This window comes from Homo sapiens, chromosome 4 (genome assembly GCF_000001405.40).
Source record: "Homo sapiens chromosome 4, GRCh38.p14 Primary Assembly".
NCBI classification, from domain to species: domain Eukaryota; kingdom Metazoa; phylum Chordata; class Mammalia; order Primates; family Hominidae; genus Homo; species Homo sapiens.
Window position 1 is genome coordinate 127,391,162 of NC_000004.12, and position 21,783 is coordinate 127,412,944.

The 21,783-nt window shown below is 38.5% G+C and overlaps 1 long non-coding RNA gene across 1 annotated transcript in view, besides 1 other annotated feature; it reads right to left on the reverse strand.

The window, feature by feature from the left end:
• The window catches only part of LOC102724210 (uncharacterized), a 396,780-nt gene that overhangs the window by 317,386 nt on the left and 57,611 nt on the right, over positions 1 to 21,783 (reverse strand). The window contains exons 3-4 of the long non-coding RNA XR_001741824.3: positions 20,146 to 20,273; positions 10,565 to 10,599 (exon numbers count right to left, since the gene is read on the reverse strand). This is a non-coding gene — a long non-coding RNA (uncharacterized LOC102724210). The remainder of the gene's footprint in view (positions 1 to 10,564; positions 10,600 to 20,145; positions 20,274 to 21,783) is intronic.
• Positions 16,348 to 16,608: a silencer, noted in NCBI's record as "fragment chr4:128328664-128328924 (GRCh37/hg19 assembly coordinates)". NCBI's record gives its function as "represses an EF-1alpha promoter that drives an FKBP-Casp9 reporter gene in an ReSE screen in HepG2 liver carcinoma cells {active_cell/tissue: HepG2}" and the evidence as "EXISTENCE:reporter gene assay evidence [ECO:0000049][PMID:32094911]".

Below are 21,783 nucleotides of genomic sequence, written 5' to 3' on the forward strand. Positions count from 1 at the left end.
GTATTAGCAGAATACTGTTATCCAATATATGTAATAATTTTTAACTTTTAATCATCAACATTCACTTTCCCTTCTGAATAAAACAAAGATTTCAAGCCTCAAGCCCCAAATACTTATTGGCTACATCACTATGCTGAGATGGGATGTGGAGGATGCTTACATTATTGAGTATTAAATGGTTCATTGCCTCAATGCTTGAAACTCACATTAAAGCTACAAACAATATGGGCCGATCTACACAAGTGGCTAATTATCAAGCCTCTAAGGAAAGAAGTTCCCACTTGGAGCCCCATGATAATGTCTAAGCAACACTATTAGAAATAATACTTTATTTTGTAATCCCCATGTTTAACAGCAAACACTGTTTTTCTGTGATGTTGTCTGAAACCTATTAACTGCCAATGACACCACCAGGATTAATTTCTCAGTAGCACTGTGTTAAGAAACAATTGTATCCAGTGTTTCCCTAACATCTTGTTATTCCATATGACTCAAGGAAGAGCAATAGTAATATATGAAACTTTATAATATATGAAATTCAAAGGCCCGCATCATCAGTGGTAGTTGCCAAGGCCCACGTGAGTTAAAGTTTTTGGGACTAGCACTGAATCACAGATACTAAACAGCCCTGAAGATTGGTGTGAGCGCCAGCCCCCAAGATGCCTCCAGTGTACTAACCTCCTGGTAGTCACACCAGTGTGTAGTCCCTACCACATTTAATCATGGCTAGCCTAAGTAACCAATAGAATACCTACAGAAGTGCAGGTGTAATACTTCCAAATCCAGGTCATAAAAGATATTAGGGTTTCTGCTTTGGCCTCTTTTAGAACACTAACTCTGCGAGAAGCCAGTGTCCATGTCATGGAAACACTCAAGCAGTCCTATGACAAGACCTTGGTGGGAAGGAATTGAGGTCTCCCACCAACAAACAAAACATACTTAAAAGCTGTGTGAGTGAACCACCTCGATAGCAGATTCTTGGGCTCCAGTCAAATCTTCAAATGGCAGCAGCCTGGGCTGGCATCTCAACTGCTACCTCATGAGAGACATCTGAGCTATAAATACCCAGCTAAACATTCCCAAATTCCTGAAGCGGAGAAATGGTGAGAAAAGGGGAAAAATGCTTATTATCGTCTTAAGCCATTTTATTTTATAATAATTTGTGACATAGTAATAGATCACTAGTACAAGGGGGTTCTATCCTTTTCATTTTGACATCCTAGAGTCTGAGTTAGGTAATCCTCTTCTGTGTTTCACCAATATCCCAGGCTTATGTCTGTTTTGTCACTTATCATCCTTTATTGTAAATGTTTCCTTATATGGCCCCTCTAGATTAAAGGCACTTTGAAGGTAAGCACTGTGTTTCCTCAGAGCATTTCAGGGGTACAATAAATGTTTGGTGAAAGTATTTATGATCTACAACATGCTAGTTTTGTGGGGCTGAGTATGTAAAGGTAGTGAACAACACATGGTAGCACATTAGCTATTAAGTGTCAAGGAAGACATAAATATTGACAAACCAGTGAGACCAAGTAAAACCAAACACTTCAAGCTGGTTACAAGTTTCAGGAGCAGTCTCACAACAGCAGTAGCCTTTCCAGAGATCAATTACAGATACTAATCCAAGGACAAATTTGGTTCCAATCCAAGGGAAAGTGCCTAGCACTTAAAAAATAGGCTCAAAATAAAGGTTACTTTAATGAACGCTTACTGGACAAATGAAATAAGCTGATCTTAGATGGTTTTGGGGGAACCACCTCAGATTGCAGTCACTGTTGAAGCATAGCATTCTAAAATGAAGAACAATATATAAAATGGCTATTATTCACATGAAATAATAAGTTTATTAAAAACAACAATCACTCAGAAGGGTGGCTGCTTACTGTAGCAGGCATACCAATAGTGTCTGTCTATTGAACCACCATATCCCCAAAACCAAGTATAGCACTGATGCAGGGTAGGTGCAGAGTCAGGTTTTGTAGTAGGACTCAAAGAATCTGAAAATGTTTTCAGTTTCCTTCACTAAGCTTTTTCCATGTGATTGGAATGAAACTATATCCAGGCTTCCAGAACAATCACTAGGTTAATTCCATGAGTAGGGCAGTATCAGACCTGGACCACAGGATTGTCGTTGACACATTCTGATCACAGTCCTGTCTGAATATTCATTCTAATGACAACCTAATATTACCCCTTCTATAATCATACCTTGGTTTGGGAATCTAAGAGATCTCTGATTTCCAATAGGCAAAAGCAGATTTTACACCTCTTAAAAGTGACCCTATTTCCAAAGGGCTACATGCAATCCTCAGACCAGTAAAGAAAGGGTTAGAGATAGCACTTCAGTGTCTGATTCTAGGCATCCAGGCCTGACATGTCTGACACTGTGAAGCCCAGTGCCACCTCAGGGCCTTCCCCAGTCCTTCTCCCAGAATCAGATACGTGTAAAGCAGGATGTCCCTGAAGGGAGATATTTTAAATGATAATTGCATTTTATTTAAGTATCTTTTAATCTTTCATTGGGGATAAAAGCTGAAAAATCACCACATGCTCATCATTGTTTTAAGCCATTTTGAACAATCAAAGATTCTTTTTGGCTTTAATTGCCAGGCCACTGAGGAGCCTCATTCATTTCTCTCTGCAGCACCTAGTCTCTACAAAAACGAATGTTTTGCCATCATTCAGAGCTGTTGCAATGGTTAATAATCATAAAAACTGAACATGCTCACTTAATCCCCAAATCCATTATAATTTTATTGTGCCAAATTCTAGTTCTATGTAATGCTCTCAAAATTTCCCCTGAGGATTGTATAAAATAAGAATCAAGTCTGATACTCTGTCTCAAACACAGGAACTTTCATCTAAGGATTTCAAAGCATTTTATAACTGAGGTTAAGTGAGTTACTGAAGACTACCCAACAAATCAGCAGATTAGGCCCAAATTACCTAACTCTAAATTCTACCATTTTTTTAAAGCATAATACTCTGAGACTTGATATGTCAGTGCTAGAGGAACTGTATGCTGTACTCATAGGTCAGATATTTGTTCTTATCCATTCTTATTAAAAGAATGACCACATACAATCTAACCTCTCCACCAGAAGTAAACAAATATTTTTTTCTTTTAGGAAAAAAAAGCAACAGGATTAGTTTAAACCTACTGCATAGCAAATACCATCTCAAACAAAATTGACAGGAACATGTTAAAGTAGAAAAATAAATTCTTTACTTGAAATCAGATCTAAGTAGACTTGTTTCCTTTCATACTGAGAAAGTTGCTATACTTGAGTTCATTGATACTCATAAGTAGGGCTGTCTGGTCCTCTCAGTTTGATATACAGCTAGCTTGATAGCTGCCTTGACATAAAGCTAAACGATTTAATTTTAAATTGCTATCAATAAAACTTGGAGCAAGGTATTAGACATGAAATTTCACTCATTACATATAATTTTCTCCAAAATAATAACTTGTAGCATGAATTATATTTCCTCTTTGAAAACGCAAAGTTGTCACTAATCCAGATGGGTAACTCTTCCAGATTTTAGATTGCAGTTTTTAAAACTTATTTTCTAACAGAGTAATATAGAGCCAGCTGGTTCCAAAGAGCTGGATCATCTGGTAAAACATGTATTTAAAAGAATAGATTGCAACTCTGAACATCTTGGACAAAAAATAAAATGAAAAACTATTCTGTCCATCCCTGGGATTTGAGCTTTCAAATCAACCTATCCAAAAGGAATTCAGTACATGTATCAATCAAAATGTCAAGACAAAATTATAACAAAAGGCAAGACAACCCTAGAATAAGATGAATGCTCACAATTTCTAAGCCCTGCAATTTCTTGAATTCACCAACAGTTTCACACTCAGTCAACAACCTATATCAATCAATTTTTTAAAAATAGAGAGCAGGCCGGGCGCCGTGGCTCACGCCTGTAATCCCAGCACTTTGGGAGGCTGAGGTGGGCAGATCACGAGGTCAGGAAATCGAGACCATCCTGGCTAACATGGTGAAACCCCATCTCTACTAAAAATACAAAAAATTAGCTGGGCGTGGTGGCATGCACCTGTAATCCCAGCTACTCGGGAGGCTGAGGCAGGAGAATGGCATGAACCCAGGAGGCAGAGCTTGCAGTGAGCCGAGATCATGCCACTACACTCTAGCCTGGGTGACAGAGCAAGACTCCGTCTCAACAAAAAAAAAAAAAAAAAATAGAGAGCAGACCAGGTGCAGTGGCTCACATCTGTAATCCCAGCACTTTGGAAGGCCGAGACGGGTGGATCATCTAAGGTCAGGAGTTCAAGACCAGCCTGGCCAACATGGCGAAACCCCATCTCTACTAAAAATACAAAAAATAAGTTGGGCGTGGTGGCCGGTGCCTGTAATCCCAGCAACTTGGGAGGCTGAGGCAGGAGAATCACTTGAACCTGGGAGGCGAAGCTTGCAGTGAGCCGAGATCGCACCATTGCATTCCAGCCTGGGCAACAGGAGGAAAACTTTGTCTCAAAAAAAAAAAAAAAAAGAGAGAGAGAGCATATATTCAAATATAAATGGATTTTTGTCGTCCAGATATTCTTCAATAGACAGAACGAAGATGTGTTCTATACATGCATCTGTGATATAATTCTTATTGACAGTAAATACAGCAAAGTCTTTCTCAGATAGTTTTGAGAATTTGCTGCCAGTTCCAATGGGAATGTAAAAAAATGTGTTACCGCTAATGTTACTTACATCTATGATGTGTCACATTAAATTCGCAATAGCTAATGCGTTTGGTTCCCAAATGTTCACATAAAAAGTAATGGTTTAAAAACATATAAGCAAAATTGAAATGAAAAGCCTAATAATTTAAAAAGTGATGGTATCTTGACAGATTATTGCAACCAGATCTTACAAAGTTTATGGAGGCACCCAGGAATTCAAGAGAAAAGTATAGTTTTCAACTAAAATGACTCAAGTCATTGAATCTTTACAGACCAGGCTACCCATGCTACACTGACTTCATGAAACTAAAACCAACTTTTCCGCTGAAGTACCTTTTCAATAATAGAAATAAAAGCACTTAAAACAGAAATTTGGTGAGACAGTGTTTTTCATCCAAAACAAATGTTCCAGTTTTATATTTGTTTCAATTAGCTTTTACTTGTATACCAAATAGTCCCAAAACTTAATGACTTAAAATAACAATCATGTTTATCTCCTATAAGTCTGTGAATTGACTGAGCAGATCTTCTGGTCCTCACCAACTTGGCTGGGACTGAATAATCTAGTATGGTCCCACTCACATGTCTGAGGGTTGGCAGGCATGTTGGTTTAGAGAGACCTGAGCGAGGACAGGTCATATGTGTTCCATGTGTTCTCTCATCCTCTAGTACAGCAGTGTCCAATCTTTGGGCTTCCCAGAGCCACACTGGAAGAAGAATTGTATTGGGCCACACACATAAAATACACTAACGATAGCTGGTGAGTTTTTTAAAACCGCAAAAGAATCTCATAATGTATTCAGAAAGTTTACAAATTTGTGTTGGGCTGCATTCAAAGCTGTCCTGGGCTGCATGTGGCCTACAGGCCGTGGGTTGGACAAGCTTGCTCTAGTGGGACTTTCAGAGTTTCTTTACACAGAAGTCTCAGGGTTCCAAAGAATAGCAAGATAGGGTAAGCTCCGACATGTAAGTGTTCATCACACTAGCATCTGCCAGTGTCCAATTAACCAAAGTAAGTCACATTGTCAAATTCAGTTGCAAGGGTAAAGAAAATTGACTCTGTCATTGGGGGATGGTTAACGGGCACAAAAAAAATAGTTAGAATAAGACCTACTATTTGATAGTACAACAGGGTGACTATAGTCAATAATAACTTAATTGTATATTTTAAAATAACTTAAAGAGTGCAATTGGATTGTCTGTAAGACAAATGATAAATTCTTGAGGCAATGAATATCCCATTCTCCATGATGTGATTATTTCACATTGCATGCCCATATCAAAACATCTAATGTACCTCATAAATATATATACCTACTATGTACCCCAAAAATTGGAAATAAAATAATGTTTAAGAAATAGAATCCATCATTGATATTTTTTCCAACTAACCATACTATCATCAACTTTCAGTTAAAGATCGATAGCCTTGTTTAGGGTTTGAGATATAGGGAAATTTTCTTATGCCAGTGATAATGTTGCTTCTCTACTTCTGAACTGATGCTATAAGCTCTCTTCCTGTTTTATAGTCTTTGTTTATTTTCTTTCTTTTCCAGCCTTTCCTAGAAGGTGGCCAAGTAAAGAAAGCAGTTAATCAGGTAACAGAAAATATCAAGATTAATGTGAGAGAAGAGAGGACTATTACGTATTCCTTAATATCTCAAGCCAAGAAAAAATATCCAGAAATTTTTAATTTGCTTTATGTCCCATGGATGTGACTTAAGCATAGCTCTAGACTTCAGGAAAAAAAAATGATAGTGGTAGTTAAAATTAATAAGACAGAGGCAATTTGAGATCTAGAATGGGTGATTTATTTTTATCTCAAGTAATGGAAAAATGAGGTTTTTCTCAATATTGCAAAAAAAAAGGTAAGTTATCCTTAGTACGGAAAACTAAGGTAGTTTAATTTTTATAATACTATTTAGAGGCAATAATTCAAGAACTAATGCCAAACATAATTCAGCTTGCTTTGCTAACATTATTAAAGCAATGAAAATCTAGTTTTTAGAAAGAGCAATAATATAATGGCAGTCATTTTTTCACACAATCTGATCAAGAACACTTCATCAGGTGTAAGTGACAAGAAAGAGTTTCATTACCATCTTAATGGCAATTAAATAACCACTGACATCATTGGTAGGAAATGTCTTTCATCACCATTTCAGATTTCTTGAAATAGCAGGAAACGTGATTTTGTTATTGTAGTGTTATGCAGTTAGGGGGTATAATGGTCCCACAAAAGTAAAAACAGAGCATGAGCTTTAATGACAATCACCATCACTTTCTTGTTTAAGACAAAGTGAACTCTACGCATTTGATCAAAACCCCAACTAGACTTATAAGGCATCTTTTTCTTGTCAGTGAAATCATTTTTACTCCATTATAGAATTGGTTATTCCAACCTAATAATATAGGCAGTGAGCTGTGGGATTTAAAGTAGAGCTATGCATGTGGAAGTCAGAATAATCCAAACATTTTTCCACTGGTATCTTAAGATATCACATTTCTTACTTTTGCCTTTAAACCCACTCCTAACCATTTTTCTTTTATTTGGTCAATACATAATAGAAACTTCGTGAAATGTTTTTACCTTAAAAACTCAAAATGCAAAATAACATATAATTTTGTGATATTTCATTCAACTCAATAATCGTTTCCATATTTTTTGGCTCTCTCTGGCCAGTGTCAAACTGTTTTGATTATTAGTTGATGAAAATGAGAATTTTTCCCCCTGTACACTGCTATTCAGCTTTCATTTAATAGCAGTTATTTCCTCTGATATCACAGCTTGCAAGCACTGCTTAACCATTTAAATCATGTGCTTCAGATTTCTGACTTTACTGCAAAGTAATCCTGTATGGAAGTCTATCTGTACTCCCAGAAGAAATTTTATCCATTGGCAGCGATGGTATCCTTCAGAATTTAAAGAAAAAGAGACCACCATGATTGCAAAAATATTATGTGCTCTTGTTCTCTTGAAAATATAAAAATTCACAGACAAAAGAGTGGACAGCATACTGCAGTTACTCTTCTTAAATTATGGTAGAGTAAAATATTTTTGCCAAGCTTAAAAAATCTCCTTACCCAAAGAATCAAGTAAGTTAAACATGACCAGAAATATTTTATACTTTTGTTTGTATATTTATTTATATTTGGTTTTGTTCCAAAAGTCTACAGTAATAAGCACATAAAATTTTATGGTATCTCAAGTAGACTTCAACTCCTTAGCGAGGTTTAGCAGAGTTAGGAATTTTTCAAACTTCTACAAAAATTAGATTCAGACTACAACTGACAAAGGTTCCTGGTACAAGAAGGATTATGGCCCAGAAGATACCTCAAATCTCATCTGGATCTAAATTTGACTCTCAAGTGGCCTATGGCAGAACCACCACTGGATGTGTTTACTCTTAGCAATTAACCTTCTACTCCCTTTCCTTCTCCCCTCACCTCAAGAGCTAATAGCATTTAAAGTCAATTTTAAATGAGGACTCAAAGGAAATTACTACAACAATCCCACCTTCTTAATTAAGTCTCCTCACGCATACATATACATACACTTGACCGAGAGCTGAGGCCACTGTAGCTTACTCTTAGAAAGCTTCATCCCTGTCATCCAAAACCAACTGCACACAGGCATGGTTGGCCAGTTTACGCCTGTGCTGGCCTTAATCTGTAAGAGACTATTGAGCATCTTGGCCGCTTCCAAAATGACCTCAGAGTTTTTGTCAGATCAGTATTCCTGGATTTTTCCTCAAAGTAGACCTAGATTTCTGGAGTCAGTCCTGCCACCCACCTGAATTTCAGGGCATCCTTTGACCTAGGAATATCCCCAGGCCAAAGCAGTCATCCAAGGCCCATGGCCGTCAAACTCTGCTGCTCACACATATTAATAGCTTGCAAGAAATCACAAATATTAGGAAAAATTCAATGGAGCATCCACCTCAGAGGCACATTCCATGAAAAGAGAAAAAGGAAGAGGTTGGTAGAAGAAAATTAAAGGTTCTTATTTTTACTCTAATATTAAAACCACCTACTTGTACAGTTTCTAGGTGTCAAGGTACAATGTCAGTTTGATGTACATTGCATGTTTTAATTCTATTTTTAACTCTGTGCTGAATGAATTCCACTGTATCTTCTTACCATGGAGAAATATGGTAAAATGGAATCATAAAAGGTTTATCCCTTTCCATCTATCTTATTTCCAGTAAAAGGGGGGATATAAATATCATTATGGAGAAAAAAATAATGAGATACAAAAAGGAAAACAATTTTTTATATGTAAGAGTAAAGAAGACACTAAAACATTGAATGACCCCTAAAAAAGACTTGTCTGTAAGTAAAATCTACCAAGTCTGAGAAAACCAAGCTTAAATTGTCATTTCAAATCCAAAAATTTTTAATGATTTTTAAATGAGGGTATCTTCATTCTTTCCTGATGTTTATGTGTACTCTGAAAGAGAAGCTAAATATTGTGATCTTTCAATGTTGTTTTGCTAGTGTTTTGGTCGAAAGAGTTCAATTTACCGAACTTGCCCTGAAAAGTATGTGTTATCCCCACTTTACTGAGCATAATTTGGTGTGTGTGAGGAACTGGAAGAGATTATACGAAAACCACAGACATAGTTCTCTTCTGGCTATTATTATTATTTGGCAACAGAACTTGCGCCTGAAAGGTTTATTTCCGAAAAGTTCAAAATACATCTTGTGTGCACTATGTAATTATCATATTACATATTATACTTTTTACCTCTTTGAGGGAAATTTGCTCTCCTAGTTTGGTTCCCAGATGACATAATTCCCTATATCTATTTTATGTGTGTGTGTGTGTGTGTGTGTGTGCGCATGTGTGTGTGTGTTTTATAAATACACCTTAAAGCATATACATAATACATGTGACTGTCCTCCAGACAAGTCTTCAGCTGGCTCTCACTTAGAACAAGTCAAAAATCATATTGCTTGGCCCTCAGCAGGTTTGCTGTTCATGTCCAAACTTCTGTCTTTAATATTCACATAATCTTTAGCCAGTTTCTTGCAGCTTATCTTCTTGGGCCACGTGGCAACACTACCACCTAGTGGAGATTGCCTATCCTTTGGTGAGCATATCATGAAACCTTAGCAAGAGAGTCCCCACTTGTGATTGGGCTAAGTGGCCTTCTCCAAGAACTTCATTCCCAAAAGTATTCCTTCCTATGGCAAATGCCAACCAACAAGCTTCCACCTGTTAAGAAACTCCAACATTAGATTCATTTATTGGAAAGTTAGCTGTCAAAGATGGAAGCATTGTTTCCCATAGATTGCTATTTTAAATACACCTAATACCCAGGAAGGACAGGAGAATAATTTCTATGATTTTCTCAAATTTATAGGTTTTTTTTACTTAATTACTAACTGAAAAGGCATTTAAATGTAAAAGTGTAGTTATGCTTAGAATAACTGGGCAGAACCAAAATATTACAGTGATTACCTCTGAAGAATATAGATGAAAGTGAAGGGAGGGGCATGGCATGGTGTTTTTCTTGGTTTTTCAGATTTTCTGTATTGAGCAAGTACTTTTGAAATTAGATAAATAAATGCTAATCTTTTTTATACACTAGCTAAGCAGAGTGAATCATAGGAAGCAATTTTCAAGATGGTAAGGTGCAATACCCATTTATTACAGATGAGGAAGCCAAGGCTCAGAGAATTTAACTGACTTGTCTAAGGTAACTGTGATAGTAAATTTTATGTGTCAACTTGATTGGGCCACAGGATGCCCAGATAGCTGATTAAACATTATATTTCTGGATGCGTCTGTATGGGTGTTTCTGAAAGAGATTAGCATTTAAATCAGTAGACTGAGTAAAGCAGATCAGCTCTTACCAGTATTGGCAGGTATCATCCAATACACTGAGGGCCTGAAATAGAACAAAAAGGCAGAGGAACATTAAACTACTTGAGCTGGAACATCCATCTTCTCCTGCCCCCTATGCTCCTGGTCCTCAGGCCTTTGAACCCATACTGGAATCTACCCCACTGACTCCCAGGCTCTCAGACCTTCAGGCTACATCACCAGCTTTCTGAGATCTTCAGCTTTCAGACAGCAAATTATGGGATTTATCAAGCTTGATAACTGTATGAGCCAAAACCTTATAATAAATACAGTCAGCCTGCACCTGTACCTGCAGGTTCTGCATCCATGGATTCAACCAATCACAGACCAAAAGTACTTTTTAAAATACAACAATAAAATATACAAACTTACAAACAATACAGTATAACAACTATTCACATAGCATTTGCATTGTATTAGGTATTATAAGTAATCTAGGGATAATTTAAAGTACATGGGAGGATGTGCATAGGTGGTAAATGGCAAATACTTTGCTATTTTATATAAGGGACTTGAGCATTCATGAATTTTGGTATCTGTGGGGGGTCCTGGAATCAAACTCCCCAGGATATCAAGGGACAACTGTATCTTTAACTGGATGGATGGATGGATGGATGGATGGATGGATGGATGGATGGATGGATGGATGGAGATAGATAGACTGATTGATCATATTGGTTCTGCCTCTTTAGAGAACTCTCATACAGTACCACAGCTATCTGCTGGCATAATTGCAGCTTTCTGGCTTCAGTTCCAGTACCTATCCCACTATATCATGATGGCTCTTCTCCATCGCCTCTCTTGTTGGATTTCTTATATTTCTTCTTTCCAGTGTTTAAACCACTCTTATTGTTATTTTTCTGTGAACAATGTAAGCTCCGGTATTTTTGTATGAAAGTGGAATAATAGTACTAGGAGCAATGAATGTCTTCTGTGATGATGTGCTACGTGAGTGACAAGAACAGAGTATGATCCTATTGTGCATAAAATAGTGTGCCGCATTTAATTATCTCAGCTGATGAAAATACCCCAAATAATCTAGTAATACTGGAATACTAAATTTTTCAGTTTCTTATTAAAATATTCCCAAATCATGTAAAATGATGTATAAAATAAAATACCCAAAGCTCTAACAATAGCCTGAAAAATCTTCCTGAGATATTGAAAAATTAGTCATTCTACCCTAACACTAACTTGGTAAAGCCCCTAAGAGGTTCTCTTTTGTTTCTTAGACTCCCTCTTGGCCTATTTGCAAATAAGCAGTAAATAACCTTTTAAAACTGTTGACCAAGTAAACATAGTGATCATTTCTATTCATTTTCAGTTCACACACACAAACACACAGAGACACATTCCAATCTAGCTTTTCTCAGTATTCCTTGCTAACATTTGTTGAGCACTTGCTACATTCTAGGTACTCTGTAAACATCTCTAATTCTCACAATAAACGTACAAGATAGCTGTTGTTACCCCTTGCTTTAGAGGTTAAAAGAATGGAGCTCTAAGACCCACTAGTCAAGTAACTCACACAGCCACTTACATTTCTCTCCTCAGGAAGATTAAATATTTATGCCTATAATTGCACTTAAGTGCTTTCTATGCTAAGAGCCAAGTTATATCTAGGATCTTGTTTACGATTATTTAGGTCACCAAACCATTTCTGTGGGCCATGTCTCCCACATTACAGACATCTTCCTCTGCAGACAAAAGTACATAGACATGAAATTAATTAACTACTCCCTCTTTAAGGAGTTGAGTCTACTCAAGGATGTAGCAGGAGGACTGTATGAAAGACTCCTTGGAAAGAGAAAACACTTAACCTAGTTCTCTCCTGGAATTTCCGAAGGGGGAGGTAAACCACCCAGTCTCCCAGAACATCAAAACTCCAGTTAAAAATGAGCCAATGTTTCAATCAGCTCCACTGGGCTCTCTGGCAGGAAGCAGAGCTTGGACAGTCACAGTCTGTTGTGAGACAACAGGATTTTCTTCCACAGTGCTATTATTTTGGCACCTTTCACAAGCAATAAATCCTTTAAAACTTAACAAGTAATTGTTGAGAGATTTAAACTAAAGCAGCTATAGTTGCAAAGCTTTTAATGTGTCGCTGGAGTAAACCATCATGTCCACTGTTCTGAAAAGGAATGTAGAGGGTTATTTTTTTTACCACCTGCTATATATCTGGCACTGTGCTAAAAGCTACAAGGAATACACACATACACACACATACAAATTTCTGTCCTCAGGAAATTTAATGTGAGAATTAAGAGGCATGATATTTACAAATAATAAATACAATTTTTAAATGAAGCTTTTCTGGCTTATTAACAAGAACAGATTTAGAGTTGGGGCATTCCAAAATTGCCACATCTTAATGTAAAGTTATAGAAGCTTGTATGGGTTGCAGTTTCATGAAAAAAAAACTCTCCCCCAGATAGTTCAAGTGAAGAAAGGCCTATAAAGGGACCTAGGACAGGGTGTAGGAGGGATTGAGCTAAAAATGAGAGATGCTAAGACACCCAGAGGCCACCCATGGAAAGCATTACCACTCCTAGGGCTGAAAGGGACAGGGAGGAAAGAGTATTTAAGAAGCCCAGTGAGAGTTGGAGCTGCAGAAGGGGCTGCCCACCAGGAGCTCAATCACAGAGGACCACATCTATTGCAAGAGAAACCGCTACACAGAAGCAGGGAAGAAGCAAGGAAAAAAGAACCACACCTATTTTGCCTTCCATCCACCATGACTTTCCAGTCCTCCTAGGGCTGAATCCATCTGCAGGTCACCTGAAAAGGGGGCTGAGGTAATGCTGTTCGCAGTCAGCAGCCAACTTCCCGGACACAAGATGAGAGAGGGAGGGAGAACAAATGCAGAGTACTGGCATCCATGCCAATGAATTTTTATAGTTATTACAAATAACAAATAGCGCACGTAAAGAATTTACTATGCCAGACACTGGTCTAAGTGTTTTACATACATTAAATCATTTAATCCTCACAATGAGGAGGATGATTATGAGTTAGGACTATTATGCTCAATGCAGAAAAGGAAACTGAGACACAGAGAGGTTAAGTAATTTGCCCTAAGTCTCATAGGTAGTAAGTAGTAGAATACAGTTATAACCTTGGTAATCTGACTCCAAACTTCATAGCCTTAAACATTATGTCCCACAGCCTATCCTAAACCTAAAAACCCTCACTCCGCAAAATGGCTATTCTTCAGCAGCATCTCTGAATAAGAAATCAACAAAGTAAAATCAAATTCGCTGCTTCAAGATCTCCCTAAATAACTTTTTTAATGAACACGGCAATGGTATGGACACTCCTCTACATACAAATAAAGAAAATTAGGTATTTATTTAAAATTTGATTGTGCCTTTAATTCTCATAGATTCCGGAATTTTTGGAAGAGTAGTGGGAAAATAATCAGAAAACACTCCATTGCAAAGGAGGAAACCAGTGGTGGAGAGGAAAAAGACATGATTTAAAGCCCAAAGAGAGAAGTATTTTCACAAAGAGCAACTACGGCCATTGCTTCACCTCTGGTTCATGCTGAATGTGGAGAAATGTTGATGTTCTTGAACTAGTAAAATTGTAAAGCTCCTCAGAGACTTACTTCTTGGAGGCAGGAGAAAACTGATTAGCCATTTAACCTGAGGTAGGCACAGAACACAAGTTTAAAAGGAGCCAGGCATAAAGAAGGACTTATTCAAACAAGCCTGCAATAGTCACCAGATTGTTGTTGCAACTCATCACATCCTTCCTGGAAAATATGGAAGAAAGACTAAGCTTTCCCTGGCCCATAATAAATCACTCAGGAGCTACCACTCCCAGGCTAAATCTTCCGGTCCTCTCTCCTTTTTTTGCTTCATATTTTTCCTCTCTTATATTTCAGATCTCAGTTAAGGAGCATGAAAAGAGAATGATGGTAAAAGTAAACCATTTTTGCTCCAATTTTGCTCTAAATATCTGAGAAAATGTTGTATTATGGATCCCCTGCTCCTGCTTTTGCTCAAAATTTCTGCATCATAAATTTGCATTTGACAAGTGTCCACCAGAAAGGTATATAATTTTGGCTTTGTACTGAAAGAGAGCAGGTGGTCACTCAAAAAGATACAAGTTTTAAGACTGATCAAAAGACTCTGTCATCCAGAGCATTTCTCCCATTATCCTATACCAAGACCTCAAATTTCTTGAAGATTTACTTCTTTGAAATATCATCAATTATCAATTAAAAATATCAGCATAAATGCATATATTTGACACATCTCAAAGCACATTTGGAAGCATTGCCTATTTGATCTCCGTAACACATCTATGATTCACGGAACTTGCTTATTTCTATTTATGACACCACCATTGCTTATGAGGCCTTTGTAAATTTGAAAATTAAATGAAGGAAAAAGTACACTATAGATGGGGGCAAAATGAATAACTTTACAGTGGAGAAATCTGACAAAACCTACTTCAGCCAGATGATCAAGGCCATCAGTAAGAGGATAAGGCATGTTTATAGTCTGTACTCTTGATATGGTGAAAATGGCACTTTGCCTCTGTGGTCCTCCTCCCAAAAATTCATAACCCCAATCTAATCATGAGAAAATCCGGCAAATCACAAATGAGAGACATTCTACAAAACAGCTGACCACCACTTTTCAAAATGTCAAGGTCATCAAAACAAGGAAAGTCTGAGAAACTGTCACAGCCAAGAGAAGTCTAAGAAAGCATGGCAACTAAATATAATGCAGTATCCTGGATGGAATCCTGGAACTGAAAAAAGACAGCAGGTGAGAAATATGAAAGTGTGAATAAAGTATGGAATAAAAATATCCATAAAGTATGGACATTAGTTAACAACAGTGCATGAATAGTGCATCTTATAGTGCAACTATAAGATGTCAATAAGGGGGAAAGTGAGTATATAATATGTAGGAACTCTCTGTACTATCTTCACAATTTTTCTGTAATTATAAACCTGTTCTAAAAAATAATTTCATCAAAAATAAAATAAGGTAATATACAAAAGATATTTTGTAAACCATGGCATATTGTTATGGTGATGATGGTGGTAATAATTAGAGCTGCATTTTGGTGACAATCTGGTGGTAGCTGAAATGAATTGGTGCTATATTCACAAAGAAGTTTTCTTGGCTCTAATGTCTACTGCAATATTCACAGATTCAGTTTTTGAAAATTATAAATTTTCAGATACATAACCTCTGAAAGTGGTTCCACTTGTAATCTGATGAATTTCAGAAATTATTCAGTAGTTCCTTAATCACTCTGTAAGTCATTTTTTACTACTCATCATGTGCCAGGCACTATCTCAAGTAAGGAAAAAAAAGAAACTAGCATTTATTAACGGATCATAGTATAGCAAGAACTTTACCTACATTACTTCATGCCATCTGTTGCGGGAAGTCAGGGACCCCAAACAGAGGGACCAGCTGAAGCCATGGCAGAAAAACATAAACTGTGAAGATTTCATGGACATTTATCACTTCCCCAATCAATACTCTTATAATTTCCTATACCTGTCTTTAATTTAATCTCTTCATCTCATTATCTTCATAAGCTGAGGATGTATGTCGCCTCAGGACCCTGTGATGATTGCATTAACTGCACAAATTGTTCATAAAGCATGTGTGTTTGAACAATATGAAATCTGGGCACCTTGAAAAAAGAACAGGATAACAGCGATGTTCAGGGAACAAGGGAGATAACCATTAGGTCTGATTGCCTGGGAGCCGGGCAGGACAGAGTCATATTTCTCTTATTACTGAAAACGGGTAAGAGAAATATCACTGAATTCCTTCCCTAGTAAAGAATATTAATAATTAACAGCCCTGGGAAAAGAATACACTCCCAGGGGGAGACCTCTAAAATGGCCGCTCTTGGAGTGGCTGCCTTGTGCAGTTGTAGATAGGGATGAAACACGCCCTGGTCTCCTGCAGCACCCCCAGGCTTGCTAGGATGAGGAAATTCCAGCCTGGCGAATTCTAGTCAGACCGGTTCTCTGCTCTTGAACGCTGTTTCCTGTTAAGATGTTTATCAATGACAATGCGTGCACAGCGGGACATGAAACTTCATCAGCAATTCCAGTTTTGCCCTGGCCTCATGACCTTGCCCTGCCCATTTGCCTTGTGATATTTTATTGCCTTTGAAGCATGTGATCTCTGTGACCCACACCCTGTTCGTACACCTCCTCCCCTTTGAAAATCGCTAATAAAAACTTTCTGGTTTTGCAGCTCAGGGGGCATTACGGAACCTGCCGACATGAGATGTCTCCCAGACACCCAGCTTTAAATTTCTGTCTTTTGTACTCTTTCCCTTTATTTCTTAGACTGGCTGACACTTAGGGAAAATAGAAAAGAACCTATGTTTGAAATATTGGGGGCTGGTTCCCCTGATATTCATCCTCACAGAAACCTAGAAAATCTTCCATTGTGGCCTGAGTGTAGGGCATTCACTCCCATAGCATCCACTTCTTACTCCTATCCTGGAACTTATCACACAGGGGAGCAATTGCCTACATGCCATCCATATCCCCGCCAAACTGTGAAGTCTTTGAGTACAAGGACTTGTTCAGTGTTGTCACTCCAACATAATAAAGCATAATACCTGTCCATAATTGGTAGAGCGAATGAATGAAATTTAGTCAAGACTCTCATTGGCAAGTGATAAAAAATTAAAGCACAAAAGAAAATTTATCAGCTCAGGTACCCAAAAAGAATAAGGAAAACTTCTGGTGCTCTGAATTCATGTGTTATTTCTTCTGCCTAAGTAACACTTCCTCCTCACTCATCCTGTGGAAGGAAGATGGACTTAAACAACTGATGTATTCAGAAGTGGGTACCGCTGAGCTCAGTCTCTTCTGCTCCCTGACTTAGGGATCTGCCTCCCTACCTCACTACAGACAGTGTTCTGCTTTGCTTTCTACCACATGCTAAGCTTCCCATGCAGGATTTGGCTCTATAACCCCAATTCAGGGGAAAGCACTAGGAAATCCACTGTGCCTGCACATCTAAACTATGTTTACTAATTCAGCTTTTATTAGCATTACAGCTAATACTTTGATCTCCATCTGTCTAACTCTTATTGGTATCATTCAATTGGTTCCAAACATGAAGCGGGGAAAATGAAAGCCATTCATCATCCTCTAAAAAATACAGGAGTACTGGGCCACAGGCATGACAGAATTCAGGAGCTCAGATCCTGCCAGAAGAAATCAGATTGTCCATCTCTCCATTCCACTCTTCTGTGCATGACTTCACTCTTAGGTTGTCTTTCTTCAATGTGACAGTGCCTGCTGGTTCCAGGCTTATCACTCCTCAAGCTTAGCAAGTAGTAGGGAAAGTGAGCTGCTGCTTCTCAATTCTTCAAATAAAAATCCTGGGATTTACTCTGCTTCTTTTGATTTAGGTCCTGTGTCTATCCTGAACCAATCACTGTGACCAGGGTGTCAAGAGCCCTCATTAGCCAGGCCTGGACCACACAGAATGAAGGGTAGGGCTGGCACCTGTTGAATCACATGTATTTACAGTGGGGGAGGTGTGGTGCCATTATGGGAATAAGGGGGAAAGGTCAAACAAAAAGAAAAGACTGCAACAGCTATGACTAGCTCTTTTACACAGAAAAGAAAACTGAGGGCACACAGCTTGTATGGGGCAGATACGGAATTTTAAATCACATGTGTTTTTAACCCCATGTCTGCATGCTTTCTTCTACATCAGAATGCCTCCCGAAGCTTCTACCAACAAATCTCATCACCCTTAAGCAAATTATCTAGCTGAAGAAGTGATAGAAACCCTTAAGAAGGTTTTAGACCATATTGGTAGAAGACGACTGCTGGATTTCTTGTCATTGAACATGCCACTGTGTGCCCCACACTCCTAGCAAGAGGTAGGAATCACTCCTGCTAAATAATGGAGCAACACCTCAATGTTTTTCTGGAACACGTTAGCTCCAATTTAACACAAGTCATCTAAGACGAAGTGGATCATATTTGGAAGGCTTCTTAACATGCTCCATTTCTTTGCTAGCTTTCATATTGTTGTTTATAGTGCTAGAAAATCTATGTAATGGGTTCAATATAAGAGGCATGCCTTTTTTTTAAACTCAACTTACTCCTTACTCCACTTGATAGCAGGAAACTTAAACTCATTAATTTAGGTTAAACTCAGTTAACTTAATACTATCTCTGTCAAATCAGAGTAAACTCAATATGGGGTTCTCTCCTCCCTTCCCACATCTAAGTTCCAGTTGGCCTAGTCATGGCATCAGGAAGATGCACCTGCCCCTCAGTCCACACTGGTTTCTGCTGAAATGTACCTCATTCCACCTGACTCATGGAAGGCGTCACACCTCCGTTGTGGCATCTGCTGAAAAGGACACTACCTATCTGGGCTGCTTTCCAGTGTTGGCCCCAGCGTCTCTCTCCACAGCTGCCTGCCTTTGGTGCCACATCTACACCACTCTTGGCTGTACTGGAAAAGATTTGGCTCCTCCTCACCCCCCATGTAAGCACATGGAGATTCTCTAGGAGGCCCTTCTCCTGGTAACCCTGTGCTGTCTCCAACTACTCCGCTGTTCCATGAATAAGGACTGTAGCATCTGGACAGCCAGGCAGGAATTGAGGCACATGGGCCCTCTCCTCTGAGATCACTTGGCCCCAGGGCTGAGACTGTCACTAAGACAGATGCTGGGAAAAGCACAGCGAGCCTTGCCAGCATCTGACACCATTCTTTCCAACTTTGTTTCCACATCATGAGGAATCTTTATCAAGTCAAGGAAAGGAAAACAATCGCTTACATTATCATCCATTCTTGCTGATCTTCCAAACCTTTCTTTCAACTGCTATCTCTACCAGGAGTTTTAAACTCAGAAGCTGGCATCAACTGTTTTGTTTTTAATTGTTCTGTCTGATCCTTTTTCTCTAAAATAGTGAGCTCAGGCTGCCTGCAATGAGGGTAAAGGCCATTTGAAAAAAAAAAAAGGAATTAGTAAAAAGGAAAACAATGATTAATGGAAAAACTCCCCATGATGTAACTTGAACCAGTTGAATTTCTGTATTTGGGGTATTGAGACCAGGGCCACAGAGTGTAGAAAGCAGACCGGAAAGAATAGCTTCTCAAGTTAAATAGACTATGAATACTTGCTTTCAGAGTGACGTGGCCAACTTCTCCATGGCTGTTTTTGCACTATCCTAAGAAATGACCTGAGCAACCAACTGTCTGACATAGCCTTTAAGTGCTTGTTAACTGTGATGGTTAATTTTATGCATCAACTTCACTGGGCTAAGGGATATCCAGATATCTAGTAAAACATTATTTCTGGGTGTGTCTATGGGGTGTTTCCAGAAGAGATTAACATTTCAATCAGTAGACTGAGAAAAGAAGATCCGTCCTTCCCAAAGTGAGTGGGCCTCATTCAATCCATGGAGGGCCAGAATAGAACAAATAGGTAGAGGAAGGGCAAATTTCCTGTCTCTGTTTGATCTGGGAGGTCCATCTTCTCATCTTCTGCCCTCAGAAATCAGTATATCTGGTTATTGGGTCTTCAGACTCAGATTGGGACTTACACCATCAGCTCCCTGGTTCCCAGGTCTTCTGACTTGTACTGAATTACACCACCAGCATTCCTGGTTCTCCTGCATGCACATGACAGATAGTATGGCCTCTCAGCCTCTGTAATTGTGTGAGCCAATTCCTATAATTGACAGACAGACAGACAGACAGAGAGACAGATAGACAGATCTCCTATTAGTGCTGTTTCTCTAGAGAATCCTAACTAATACATTAAGGCAAGAGGAGAGAAAATAATCACATGTTTAACAATCAGAGACTTTATAACAAACATCAGCAGAATGTCCAGGAAAAGGACCAGTCCAGGGTACAAACCAGACGCACCACTCTAGACCACAGCAAAGATCCAGAGGATGCTACATAGACAAAAGTTCCCAGCTTCACTCATCACCATGAAATCACCCTCAGATTCCATCTGGAAGAAAAGCACAGAAAGGAAATAGAAATCTGAAGGGCCATGAATTGAATCTAAAAGACACTGAGCCATCAAAAAGCAACTAAGCCAAAAACGAATGTAAAAGATTATAAACTGCAAAACATAAAGTTTATTTTTTCTTAGCTACCCAGTGAGACTGTCAGCAATAAGGAAAGAAAAAGGCCAAAATGCTGTATTTTTCTTGCATATGTGACTGTGGTAAGAGTGACTACTGCTCTGCTATCCAATCCTCCAAAATCCATCTTTCCAACAGCATATACCAAAATGGAATGAGGCAAGGCAGTAGCAAGTGCTCCCAGGTACCATATCACAATAGTCCAACTGTCAAAAAGGCTTGTACTCTAGTTAATACTTTGGCTGAGTTGTGGATACTGAAGTGATTAAAAGAGAGGAAAAGAAGGAAGGAGGAAAGGAGGGAAGGAGGGAGGAAGGGAGGGAGAGGGAAATAAATAAAGGGTTGGGGGAGAGCAACAAAAATGATCTGTGTTGTATATAATAACTCTATGGTAAAATCATTTCCTCAACAGGTTATGAGTGAAATGAAAGCTAATGATAGTGACAGATTGTTCAAATAAGTAATGCTTTAAAAACCTCTCTTCAGTATATCACCAGTAAATTAGGAGCAAATACAAAAGGTTTCTTACTTTTACCTATCCTCATAGCTTGAATCTCTTCTCCAGAAAAACTTGAAGATTCTCTATGAAGAATAAAATCATCTATTTATGAAATCTTATTAAATGCTGCTTTTACAATGATTGAATGAAATAAAAAAGAGAGAGACCAAGGGAGAGAGGAACAGAGGGAGGTGGGGAAGGAGGGAGGAGGGAGAAAGAAAGAAAGGCAAGCATAGAGGGAGAAGAGGAAGAAAAAAAGCATAAAGCAACCTAAAGCCCTTGAACTTGAAAGTATTAATGATTATTATCAATGTCTCCATATCTTCATGAGGAGATTCAGCTAAGTTATAAAACCTAGATCCATTTACCAACTGATGTTCTGTGGTACTGCTTATAAGTGCAAAAGATACACTCCTCTCAGCAGAGTTGTAACCCATTTACCAGACTACACTGTAAATGAGCCTTCTTTCCTCCTAGGCTTCCCAGAAAGGGTGTAATGGCAAGTCCAGCCACTATAATTGTTCCACAAATCCCTTCAAGGAGATTTGAGAAGACCCAAAAGCCCACAAAGCTTATTCAGTCAT